This window comes from Homo sapiens, chromosome 19, assembly GCF_000001405.40.
Source record: "Homo sapiens chromosome 19, GRCh38.p14 Primary Assembly".
Classification (NCBI taxonomy): Eukaryota; Metazoa; Chordata; class Mammalia; order Primates; family Hominidae; genus Homo; species Homo sapiens.
In genome coordinates this window covers 54,559,391-54,572,929 of record NC_000019.10, presented here as the reverse complement: position 1 = coordinate 54,572,929, position 13,539 = coordinate 54,559,391, and the positions used below count along the sequence as shown (strand labels likewise).

General features: G+C 40.6%; 2 long non-coding RNA genes across 2 annotated transcripts; one reads left to right on the top strand and one right to left on the bottom strand.

The window, feature by feature from the left end:
• Positions 102-3,539, top strand: LOC107985347 (uncharacterized). The gene is made up of 2 exons (XR_002958419.2): positions 102-194; positions 1,637-3,539. It is a non-coding gene; the product is annotated as an uncharacterized LOC107985347 (long non-coding RNA).
• On the bottom strand, positions 1,218-10,952 carry LOC105372461 (uncharacterized). The gene is made up of 3 exons (XR_936073.3): positions 10,738-10,952; positions 5,991-6,148; positions 1,218-1,512 (listed from the first exon to the last, which is right to left on the bottom strand). It is a non-coding gene; the product is annotated as an uncharacterized LOC105372461 (long non-coding RNA).
• Between the last annotated feature and the right edge of the window lie 2,587 nt (positions 10,953-13,539).

The following is a 13,539-nucleotide window of genomic DNA, read 5'->3' as shown; positions in this document are numbered from 1 at the left end:
ACCAAACCGTCCCTCTCCTGTACTTCCCCTTTTCTCTTTGTTGCAACATCACCCACCCCCACCCCGGGAATGAGGCTCTGAGTCGGTCCCGCCCCCTCAGTGTCCCTTGCGTCCTTGGCCTTCCCTCGGCACCTCCGTCCATGTTCAGAGTTTTCAGAAGAATTTGTTAGGTCTGTAATCTGATTCTGGGGAAGGTGAGCTGATTTGTATTTAATTCCTGATTATCATCCAGGGTTTATGTGACTTTGGACATGAATGTCACCTCTGAGCCTGCTGTCGTGAACCCCACTCATCACAGTGGCTGTGGGGGTCAGTGGTGCCCAGGACATGGGAGGCTCAGCCATGGTGAATTTCCAGACCAGTTCAGACAGGAGGGTGGGGACGGGAGAGGATCCTGGTGCTGGGCTCCACAGTCCAGGAGGATGATTGACGCCCCCACTCAAGAGCCCACATCGGCTCCAAATACCATGAAATTCTCCTTGTGATACATCTGAAATATGCAGATCATCACAGCCACGGGCACAGAAAGAGGAAGAACAGTTCCTCACATTGAGACGCATCCCCTTCCATGAGCAGAGTTCAATGCTGAGTGGCCACAGGTGTCTGGGACCACCCAGGGTCATTAGGGAGGAGGAGGCTCCCACCTCCGTGTGGGACAGAAGAGGAACCCCACGTCCTCCCAGGCAGGGAGGGGTCAGGGCTCTGGGTGACGCTGGAAGCTGTGGCTCCCCCTCCCCTGTGTGTGTGGACAGGCGCTGGGGGGTCTCTGCTCACTCACTGGAGGCCATGGTCAGTGCTCAGCCCCTCCCCTGTGTGTGAGAAACAGATTCAATCCACGGTGGTCTGACATGGGCGTCTGCTCTGCCCCACAGGTGAGTGTGAGACTGGCGTTGGTCCCATCCCTGCTGGGCACAATCTTGAGCTGACACTGAGTTTGGGGGAGTGGGGAGGAGCAGCGGCAACAATCCCCTTCATCAGGCTGATGCCTGGACAGCCGTGGGAGAAACCCTTTATGAAAGGTCAGGTGCGTGGGAGGAGCCGCCCCACAGGAATGACAACCAAGATACATGAGGAAAACACAGACAGTTGTTGAAATGCATTAGACAGACATTGTGAAGGTGAATTAATTTTTATATTAATTTATATATTATATAAAAGAGTCCCAAGCCCTTCTCAGCCTTTTCCCCTGCTATCATTGCTACCGAAACTTTGGGGCTTCTGTCTCCACCCTCAGGTGCCCCCCTCTTCCTGTCACAGAAGTTTTCTTCCTGGACATCAGCAGCTGGGCTGGACCCGGGGAAGGACATGGGAGTGTGAGGGCCAGTGAGGAGGTTGTGGGGGTAGGTGGGCGTCTGGGGTCTTCGGGCAGAATTACCTCCTCCACAGGCCTCTGTCGTTCTCTGACTCCACAGTCCCCACAGGACTTTGGAAATCAGCCTCCCTCTGGGCTGGGTGAAGAGGGACAGAGCTTCAGCCTTGGGATCATGAGAGCCACCTGCCCTGCACAGAGAACTCAAGAGAAAAGAAGGAAAGCTGAAAACACACTTGCATAGATGTTTTAAAAACGTCGTTAGATGAAACAACCAAAAGAATAAGGTATGTTCATGTATGTTCACATTTATTCTCTTCTTTCTAGGTTTTCTCACTGGGAAATGCTGGAGCCGTTTTTCTGAGCTGAACTTTCCCATCTGGAATCTGTCTGGTTGGTGGTGCCCTGACCCCACCTTCAGTCAGCCCATGGGTCTCCCCGCCAACTTCCTACTCACCCAATGTCCTGTGTTGGCCCTGAGGCCAGTGTCAGAGGAGAAAGAAGAGGAGGAAGAGCACCAGCTGAAGGCCACTGAGACCCCGATCACAACCCCCAGGTGCTTTCCCAGACCCTGAGGTAGGACTGTGAAGGTGTACTGATGCCCTTGCCAAATGAAAGGAAACTGTTCCTGATGGTTCTTATTAACAGTGATGGAGAAAAAAATATTTAACACATCAATGGCTGAATACTGGGTATCAGGGGATGTATTAATTTGCTCAAACTACAAAACCACATCTGTTACAACATCTTCAATTGGATCTGATTAAGCTTACAATAATCTAATATCATTATCCAAGATCCCTGCGTCTTCTGTGGAGGTAAAATAGGAGAGGTGAATGGCAAGGTTGTGGGAATCACTGTCTCTGCACGCTTCAAGTCCCAATATATGGAATTCCTCCAGGAATGCAAGACTGCTTTTGGTTTACAGTTTAGCTGGGAAGAGGCAGTTCTAGTGGCTCCCACTGGGCCCACTCTAATAACCCTCACTCAACAAGTGAGGGAACCACTGTGGGGGTTGTGATAGTTGTTGAATATGTCTATTCCAATGTTGCCCTCTGGAACTGGGGATACAGCCACAGGGTGGGTTTAGGGATACACTGGATTCACTATGGAACACGTGAGCTCAAACTCCACCAATCACCTTGCCTCTAGCAGCCACTACTCTGACTGGAGGGCCACAGTGACGTTTCGGGTCTCCTGGAATTAATGTCAGTTCATACCCCATTTCCAGTAATGCCCAAATTATCTGATTATTTTCCCCAAGGCTCCATTGCCATTGTAAAAGGCTGCAGGTCCCTTTAACCAAAGTCCAGGAGAAAGATTAAGAGTATATATTCTTGGTAGTGTACCAGGGACAGTGCCCTCACGGGAACCCTGCCTGGGATCCCTTTAATTCAGGGGATTCTGGCTCTATGAACTGACTCAGTGCTAGCCATTGATTGAGAGACTGTGGCTCTCTGCTTTTATGATTTGGGTTGACTTTTGTTCACTTGACATAGAAATTTTCTGCTTATACAGATCAAGTGAGAATTTAGTAGGTTTCCTATCTATCTCCCTTGTTAGAATGCCGTGATCAACTAGCCAACACCATAAGTCTGCGGGACTATTCCGATCGCTGGTTTGACTTTGCTGTCCATCATGGTAACCAAACCCACCTTGCCTTTGGTGGCTGAGTTCCTCTACTTGGCCCCTGTCTCTCTGGGGGCCAAGAGGTAGGGGCCAAATTACTCCCATTACATTTAGATTTTTTAAAATTCAGCAGTTCCACTGTAGGTTCCAGCTTCCAGAGAAGAGAAATCACAGAGCTCCTCAAGGATGCCAGAGCTCCCTTTGCAATATTGTTGAAAGATACATCTTCTGATGCTTCCAATGTGGGTTACTAGGTTTGATACATGCATGGTAACATTACAGTCTTCCTAAGCCTTTAAGTTAATTCCTCTGCAGCAAACCAAGGCATGTCTGGCATTTTGAGTTTATTTACTGCAGGCCAGCTTTTGCTCCATGTTTCAGCCAATCAACCAGACAAACTGGTAGAATCATTTCCGGTTCTCCAAGATGCAACATTAAATGTGCAATCTCTGTTTAGTGAGCTTATATATATAAATTCGGTCCGACTCAACTTTATGTTCTTTTCACCATTATCCTAAACCCTTAATATCCACTCTGACACGTGTTCCTCAGACTTCTGTATGGATAAATTAGAAAAATAAATAAATTACTTTGGAGTGTAGCACAACTTCTCATGAGCCACACTTTGTAACACACTTTTCAGGGCCTGCGAGACTTGAATCTAGTTATAGGTCTAGAAGCAAAGAGGGTTGGTCAGGATGTATCCTAAGGAGAATCAGCATAGCCTTGCATGGCAACTGCCTCAGGGGAGGCCAGTATTGTTTCCTCAGACAGTACAGGGTTAATCTCCTCCCTTGCAGATAGAGAGGATGCTTCTATTGGCAAAGAAGACTCATTCAAAGTTAGGGGCTTGATATCCTCAGCTGTATCAGGGTCTTAATATACATCCTCATTCCATCTTTCAAGATCTCACCCATTCCTGACCAATGGCATTACTTGAACAGTAGATACCCTGTGAGGCTGGGGACTCCGCTTGAATTGTAATACAGCCACTTCAAGGATGAGATTCTCGGTTTGATTTTCAGCAATCTCACCCCTACAGCTACAGATGATAAGAGTCTCTTTCAGGGCACACATAGAAACCTCAGATATTTATGTAGTGGTGCTTGAACTGGAAATTCTAATCTCTGGGCTCATCTTTTTCTTTACCTCTTTATCCAATGACAAAACAGCCACACATACTATACTTAATAGTTTGACAACAATCTTCAAAGGTGTATGCAAGGCCACCCAGATTCTCGTTCCTTATAAGTGTAGGATTAGGAGCATCTAGTGGTGTACCCCTAATGCCACATCATGCCACGGACTATCACAGACTTCCTTCCTTCCTTCTTCCTTCCTTCCTTTCTTCCTTTCTCTTTCTTTCTCTTTCTGTTTCTGTCATACTGTCTTAATGTCTTTAAATCTAATCAGACAGCCAGTTCCATAAACCTCAGAAACAGTAGACAAAACATATTAAGATTCAGTTCATCTAGAATCATTCCTATGATCAAATTATGTATTTGTAAGTGTTCTCCAGAGAAACAGAACCGATATATGTACATATGTGCATATCTATATCTACTTATCTTGCTATCTAGGAATGGGTTCATGTAATTGTTGGCACTTGGTGAGTCCAAAATCTGCAGGACAAACAGCCTGAAGACTTGGGGAAGAGTTTCAGCTCCAGTCAGCCAAACAACCTGCTTGCAAAATTTTTTACTATTCTGTGGAGCACATTACTTCTTTTCCTTCTCACAATGCACTTATTATCTTTTAACACAATGCATACTCTATCTATTATTTATTGTGTGTAATGTCCACTTTTCTTGACTACAATATTGACTTAATACAGGCAGGCTCTTTGGAAGTTTTCATGTCCTTTATTCTGAGACATCTCATACACCATGTTTGACACAGATCAGATACTTCACATGTGCCTATGGAAACAGGGAATAAAAGTTTCTCCACTCCTGCCAAGTTCATTTCTATCACAGAGACAATTTGTTCCAACTTGATTCTTTTCTTCTCCCTTCCAGGCAGCCTTTTGTACAAAGTTCTCAGAATAGAAAAAGAATAACATTCAGGAGGCAAGACCCCAAGGTTGGGAAGAAACACATCCAGACTCATTGCCTCCTCCTTCATCTCAGTTCTTAGACATCAGGGTCCTCATCTGATATCTTATTTCCATGTGGTTTCTCCAAGAATTTCAGAGATGTTTCTTTCTTTCTTTCTTTCTTTCTTTCTTTCTTTCTTTCTTTCTTTCTTTCTTTCTTTCTCTTTTTCTTTCTTTCTCTTTCTTTCTTTTTCTTCCTTCCTTCCTTCCTTTCTCTTTCTCTCTCTCTCTCTGTTTCTGTCATACTGTCTTTATCTTTTTTCTGTCTCTCTTTCTCTCTATCTCTTTCTATCTCTGTTTCTGTCTCTTGCTCTCTTTTTCTCAGTTGAATGGATCTAATCACTACTATTAGCTCTCAGTCATTTGAACATTTCAAAAATGTTTTTCTGAGAGCATCTCAAATCCCCATGCAAATACTGTCAGTGTACTCACAGATGATATAATAATTACCTGTCAGCAAGAAGATGACCTCATGGTGTCCCAAACCTTTATATCAGGGATAAGATGTCCCCTTTTGCACAGGTGCCCAGACTGTGACCATGAAGGCTACTTCTTCAGCAAGAAATGGCATTTGGTAAGAGGAATTTTCTTTGATACAGAGCCATATTCTCAGGGAATTAGAGTGTTTATCATAAAAAACTTGGTGTGTACACAAAATTATTGTTTAGTCCTAGCATCAGCATGGACCATTAAAAAAAAACCCTTAAAGTAATAATATTTTCTGAGGGTTCCTGAGACATAGAATTGCCCCAGCCTTCCCGCTCAAGAGTTGCCTGGCATCTCTTATTTTCCTCTTCTGTCATAGCCCCATCCGAAACACTGTCTCTGAATGAACACGCCAAGCCTCACAGTCTTCACTCTGCTGCTTGTATGAGGGTTAAGAGTGTGTCAGCTCTTGCCACCTGCTTACACACTTCCTGTCTAATGACACCTGCAACTTAGGAGATTTAAAATTACCTGTGGTGGTTGCGTGTTGTGCTTTGGTTGGCAATGGCATATGTCTCCGGAAACTTTCTGTCATAAGTGCAAAGCCATACACCTCCATCTCTTTCCCATGGGTTCTGGGGATTACCATGCACTTAACTGCAACAATAATTTCATGTCCGTAGAAAATCCTGGAACCAGTGTAAAGAAGGTAAACTCTATCTCTCACTTCACCAAATAGAATCTCACCTTTTAAAGTGAGTGACTGTTTTCAAGGCTTAGGGAGCAGGGATAATCAGGGACTATAAATGTGTTCAGGTATAAATGCATCTCTGACTCTTAGCCAGCTTTAAAAGTGCTGTGCTACACCCCAAACCTTTGCACCTGGTCCAGATCCGTTGGAATTTAAAGATCAAGCGTTCTAAAGCTGTCACTCCACTCAGTCTTAAAACAGTGAGCACTTAGTCTGTTCTGACAGCTAAGATCCCAGCCAGAAGAGCCGTGGGGTGGGGATTTTCCTGCCAGGATCTCAGGAAGTAAGATGTGCCTCATTTAGCCTACTATTGTGCCTCTCTGCAAATCACTTTGATAAGAGATGAAACAGAGGTTTTCATTTCCCCACGAATGACTGCCATTCTTAAAGAGCAGATGAGACCCATAGTCCCAGCTGGTCTAGGACTCACAGATATTTTCTTGTGTCCATGATTTTCCATCATTTTGTTGTTCTCACTGCTGCTCAACTAAGTTTAGTGGAATTTAAATTTAGTTGTATGTTTCCTTTATGATTCGTGCATAGCTCCTTTCTTTCTCTTGTTTGGATTTGCTGACCAATGTCTACTATAAATTTGCTAAATTTCTCATACTTGTCACAAGACATTTTCTTTCCAAGAAAATTTTGAATAAGTTTGTGTGTATATGCTACATAAAATGCATGGTTTTATTTCTCACTCTCCTACTTTTCTCCCTGTCCACTGGGACCAAACTGTTATCATTATTATATAGCCTTCCAGAAACGGTTTTGATTTTCTAAAGCATCTATTTCTCTAAACTAATCTACACTTTACCAAGATTCTAGTATTTTCCAAATTTTAATGACAGTTAAATCCCATTGTAGCTTAACAACGTTTTAATTATTAAACCAGTTAAAAAATTATTATAAAAATGCTGTTCTTGTTTTGGTAAGTCCTAATGTTTTTGCAATGCATCTACATTTTTAGGTATTATAAAATAGTATGTCAAGTTAAATATGGCTAAAATACTCTATCTTCTACTTCATAGTATCATATAAGGTTTCACTCGCATCTCACATTCATTCATTTCAAACTGAGAAACCATTACTCTTCATTTAATTTTCACCCAGATATAAAAATCCATAGCTGCAAGAAGAATAGTAATTATGGGCCAGGCACGGTAGCTCATGCTTGTAATCCCAGCACTTTGGGAGGCCAAGGCGGGTTAATCATCTGAGGTCAGGAATTCAAGACCAGCCTGGCCAACATGGTAAAACCCCTTCTCTACAAAAATGCAAAAATTAGCCAAGCATGATGGTGGGTACCTGTAATCCCAGCTACTCATGAGGCTGAGGCAGGAGATTCGCTTAAACCCAGGAGGCAGAGGTTGCAGTGAGCCAAGATTGTGCCACTGCACTCCAGCCTGGGTGACAGAGCAAGACGCCATCAAAAAAAAAAAAAAAAGAAGAATAGTAATTATGTACAGTGACGCTATGACCATAAATTAAACATGTAACAAAAAAATGGATTTCAAATTTAAAGAAATCTTTTTTAAATTTTATTTTGCATTTGGTTGATAATCTCCGAGAAAAACATATATTTGTGAGGCTTTTTTTCTTACCCACAGAAATCCTTGTTTACATAATTTCCCTACTTAGATAACAAATGATATTTTATTTTACTGTTTAGAATGAGCACTTAAAATATTAATGACAGCCTCCTTTTTTCAATTTTGATATATAAAATATTTCTAATATTCTGAGTTCCATATTATATGTCGTTAGTCTTAAATAAGTTTTACTATTTGAAATATTGTAATATTTTTAATTGTTCTATGGCTCATGTTTTAAAATTGCTTACTAAGTATTTGCCTCAACTCATGTTTTAAAATATATATACCTGTTTCTATATGCTTAATCTACTAGATATTAATTTATATGGTTATATGCCTTTACATAAATATTTTTATTTGCCTAAATGGCATCCAGTAGAAACTGGTTTTAGTTTTTAAACTAAATGTCAAAATATTTAAATCCATGTATTTAACAAATATTCTTCCAACTCATTTTGGAATTAACTTTTACTCAAATACTAAGTTCTTAATTTTTTTATACCTATAATTCTCCTGGTCTCTAATCTTTGGAATTCAAAGATCAAACAAAATTTCTATCTCTGATCTGCATCTATTTCTTTACATATCTACCTATCAAATACTTCACATTATTTTGTAGACTGTTTTTTTCTTTGGTTTACTATAACCAATTTTTATCTGTAATTTTAAAATATTAGATAAAACTATTTTTAATATTATAATTAATTTTCTTTCTGTGTCTTTTTTTTTTTTTGACCAGTACAGGACATTTGGGAATGTTAGTATTTGGTTGTAAAATACATTGTTGATGCACACATATTTTGTTGGTCAAATTATTTAAGATATTGACTCACTTCACGCAGTATAGTGGTTTATTGCATTTTGTCAGGTCTTAAGCACCCTTTCTTTTTTTTTTAATAGTATTTCTTCCAGGGGCCGGGCGCGGTGGCTCACGCCTGTAATCCCAGCACTTTAGGAGGCCGAGGCGGGCGGATCACGAGGTCAGGAGATCGAGACCATCCTAGCTAACAGGGTGAAACCCCGTCTCTACTAAAAATACAAAAAAATTAGCCGGGCTTGGTGGCGAGCGCCTGTAGTCCCAGCTACTCGGGAGGCTGAGGCAGGAGAATGGCGTGAACCCGGGAGGCGGAGCTCGCAGTGAGCCGAGATCGCGCCACCGCACTCCAGCCTGGGCGACAGAGCGAGACTCCGTCTCAAAAAAAGTATTTCTTCCACATTTACTCAATTGAGTGGTTGATTTGTACAATTACATACATTTTCTTAAGCCATTTTTTCATCAAAATTGCAAATACAATACTGCCTCTACAAAGAAGAATTTACAAATTATTTTTTACCCAGTGTTGTATGTATTTGCACAACTCATAAATATTAATAAATATCTGTTGTATTCTATGTAGCAGTTTATTAAGCAACTATGAAACAGAATTGTGTCCAAATGTTACAAAGGTAATATTTTGATTGCCAAAATATACATTCATGTTTAAACATTTTTTTTCAATTCTTAGTTGGATTTACTAGAGATATATTATATTTTAGAAATGGGTGAGGCACTGTGGCTCATGCCTGTAATCCCATCACTTTGGGAGGCCATGGTGGGCGGATCACCTGAGGTCAGGAGTTCAAGACCAGCCTGACCGACATGGTGAAACTCCGTCTCTACTAAAAATTCAAAATTAGCCGGGCATGGTGACACATGTCTGTAAGCCCAGCTACTCAGAAAGCTGAGGCAAGAGAATCACTTGAACCCAGAAGGTGGAAGTTGCAGTGAGCCGACATTGCACCATTGCACTCCAGCCAGGGCAACAAGAGAGAAACTCCATCTCAACAACAACAACAAATTAAAAATTAAAATATGGTGAATTTCAGGGTTGCGATCTTGTTTCTGAACAATTTCCATGTGCTGCTAATTATATAACTGTAATAGTAAAAAGGGGTGCTTTTTAATATTGAAAAATAGTAAAAATAGTAGAAGAGATAGTGACCCTTAATATATCACAGGTTTGTCCATCACTGAGCTCAGGAGGCAGTGCTCGTAGGTCTCACCTAAATAACAGACTCATTTTGTTTTTCCACTTTGAGTATTTTTAAGGCACATATTAAAGATGTATACCTTGACGACTTTATATATATAGTGAAATAATCACCACAATCCATCACCTCACTTGTGTGTGTGGTAAAACTACTTAGAATCTACTATTTTAGCAAATTTCAAGCGTATAGTACAGTACTCTTACCAATAGTTTTCATTCTATACATTAGATATCGATAATTTATTCATCTTGGAGAATTAAAACGTTGTACCCCTTGGCCAGGCACAGTGGCTCACGCCTGTGATCCCAGCAGTTTGGGAGGCTGAGGCGGAGGGATCACCTGAGGCAAGGAGTTCAAGACCAGCCTGGGCAACACAGCGAGACCCCCATCTCTACCAAGGATACAGAAGGTTAGCCAGGCGTGGTGGTGCACGCCTGTAGTCCCAGCTACCCAAGAGGCTGAGGTGGAAGGATTGACTGAGCTTGGGAGGTTGAGGCTGCAGTGAGCTGTGATCACACCACTGGGCTCCAGTCTAGGAGACAGAGCAAGACCTTGCCTCAAATAATTAAGTAAATTTGTTAATGCTTAAAAAAATGCTGAATAATATTTTATGATAGGTATATATCACATTTTCTCTATCCATTCATCCATCGATGAACATTTATGTTGTTTTCGTATCTTGGCTACTGTGAATAATGGTGCAATAAATATAGGCGTGCAACACCTCCTCAGTATTTTGATTTCAATTGCTCTGGCGAAGTATCCAGCAGAGAAATGCTGTGTCGTGTAGTTCCATTTTAATTTTTTGAGGAATCTCTATGCGTTTTTCAAAATGGCTGCACCAATCTGCATTTTTATTAATGGTATTCCAGGGTTCCTTTTTCTTCACGCCCTTCGAAGCACTTACCTTCGTTTGCCTTTGTTATCATCCTAACCAGAGAGGTGATGCCTCACTGTGATTTTAATGCGTTTTCCTCATGATTAGGTATGTGGAGCCTTTTTCTAAACCTGCCGTCCATTCCTGTGTCTTTGGAAAGATGTCTATTCGGCTCCCATGAGTCTGTGGGTCAGATCTGCAGCCATTTTGTTAGATCTGCGTGATGGCTGCTGTGAGCGCTCACAGCTTCCGGTGCTCCCGCCTCCTCCAAGACTATTCCGCCATTCCAGTCCCCTCGACGATCTGGTGCTGAGAGGCTGACGTGGGCAGTTTCCCCTGAGGCTGAGGAACCTGGGTGTTCCCTCTGCTTTCACTTTCCTCTGTGGGAGAGCTCGCAGCCCGCGGAGTCTCTCCTGGCACTGAACTGTGCCTCCCTGGGGAAGAAGAGATGCAGAAAGAAGAGAAAAGCTGTTCTTTCTCTTTTCTTCAAAAATCTTTTTTTTAATTTTCAAATATATTGCTTTATGCCATTTCAAAAACAAACCTGCACGTTGTGCACAAGTACCCTAAAACTTAAAGTATAATAATAATAAAATAAAAAAAGAAAAAATAAAAAAATAAAAATAAATGCAAGACACTGGGAATATATTGCAGATCAACATAACTCTCCCTGTCTCCAATGAGTCTAGACGTTTTGAGTAATAAAAAAGTGAAACAGGGCTAGTGAATAAAGCTTGATTATAGCATTCTGCTATACTATTACCTAATTTTGTAACTATTTCTTGTATCTTATTCTGCAATTTTTTGCTCGTTGTGGTGCTGGCAACTCTCACTGCACTTCTAGGTTGTCACAGAAATATTTCTGGTCCTGGATGGCGGTCACAGCTGATGTTTCTGTGGGGCTATGAGGAACAGAATCACGTAATCCACCGTCTTGGAATTCCACTCCTCCTGCCTTGGTTTTAGCGGTAATTTTTTAAACAAAAATTAAAGATTTTGAAAATATGAATCTGAGGGCAAGATAACACAAAAGTTTTTTTAAAAAATTAGATCTGACACAGTAAGTGACTCATTTGTTTGCGTCTTGCATTCTCCAGCTTGCATTCCTGCCCCCATGGCTTTGTCATCAACAGGATCCATCCAGTACTACATTCACCACGAACCTGAAGTCTAAGGGTTTGGGAGGCCATTGATGTTTATTGCTTGTACACTCAGTGTACAGATTTTGCAACTCTGTCCATCTTCCAGTTTGGAAACTATGTCCTGTTTCACTTTGGAAGTATACACATATTTTCATGAATATACGTGCAGTGCAAAAATATTTTCGGCCGGGCGCGGTGGCTCACGCCTGTAACCCCAGCACTTTGGGAGGCCGAGGCGGGCGGATCAAGAGGTCAGGAGATCGAGACCATCCTGGCTAACACGGTGAAACCCTGTCTCTACTAAAAATACAAAAAATTAGCCGGGCGTGGTGGCAGGCGCCTGTAGTTCCAGCTTCTCGGGAGGCTGAGGCAGGAGAATGGCGGGAACCCGGGAGGCAGAGGTTGCAGTGAGCCGAGATGGCGCCATTGCACTCCAGTCTGGGGGACAGAGTGAGACTCCGTCCCAAAAAAAAAAAAAAAAAAAAAAAAAAAAAAAAAATTCACATATAATTCATAAACCCAAAGACAAAACCTAGGTAAAAAATAAACTAATCTTATACCAAGTTAAGGTTTCACTAAACAAAGATGAATTATTCCCACAGAATAATCTGTAGATTATTCAGATTATGCAGATTATTCAGACTAAAAATGGTCTGAAATTTTCTGCAGAAATCTTCTACAGAGAAAAGAATGTTTCCTGTGGAATACTTCAGATAGAAAAGGGAGATACTGGTTCTTGCGTCCATTTCCACTTTTGGAATGTGGTAATTTGGTGCTGTAAATGAGGTATTTTGTTTGTTTGGCTTATTTTCTTTTGTTTTAGCACTAGTAAACATATATGGTTTATATATATTCATTTATTTCAATCCATTGAAATATTATTTGATGCTATAAATATTCCATTCTTTGTCAGTGGGATCCTTCATGATTGCCTTTCTGTTTAAGTCAAATGAATTTGAAGGTAATTGTGACTCCTTTGTTCTCTTGTATAATAAGGGGTTCTGAGTTCATTTCATGCATTCTGTCTTAATGTGGACTCACCTATTTCCTCAAACAGAAATAAAAAACATTTCACTATCTAAGTATATTTTAAGATTAAATATTTTCGATGATATATGTATTTACTATACATCGTCAAAATTATTTATTATAATAATCATATATATTATTTGATTATTTAAAAATTTTAAAAAATTATAATATAAAATGAGGTATATGCAATCGTCAAAATTCTTTATTACAGTAATAATTATAAATCAATATATTATATATCATATTTGATTATTTTAAAACATTAAAAATCTATAATATAAAATGATGTATAATATGTATTACTTATAAAACATAGTTAAATAATTTTGCTTAAAATTCAGTGGAAATAATTCACCTTTGTTTAGTAAAATCTTAATTTGGTGTTAAGATTAGTTTCATTACTCTTTTTACTTAGGTTTTGTCTTTAGGTTCATAAATCGTATGTGAAAATATTTTGGCACTACACCTATTCAAGAAAATATATGTCTATTTCCAAACTGAAACAACAAACAAAGCACAATGAGGTTAGTCTAGCTTCATCCCATCTCCTCTGCTGTTTTCTCCCTCCGTCACAAGTACCTAGGGTTTTGTTGTGGTTTTTGTTGTCGTTTTGATTTTGTTTTTATTTTTGTTGAAACGGAGTCTCGCTCTGTCACCC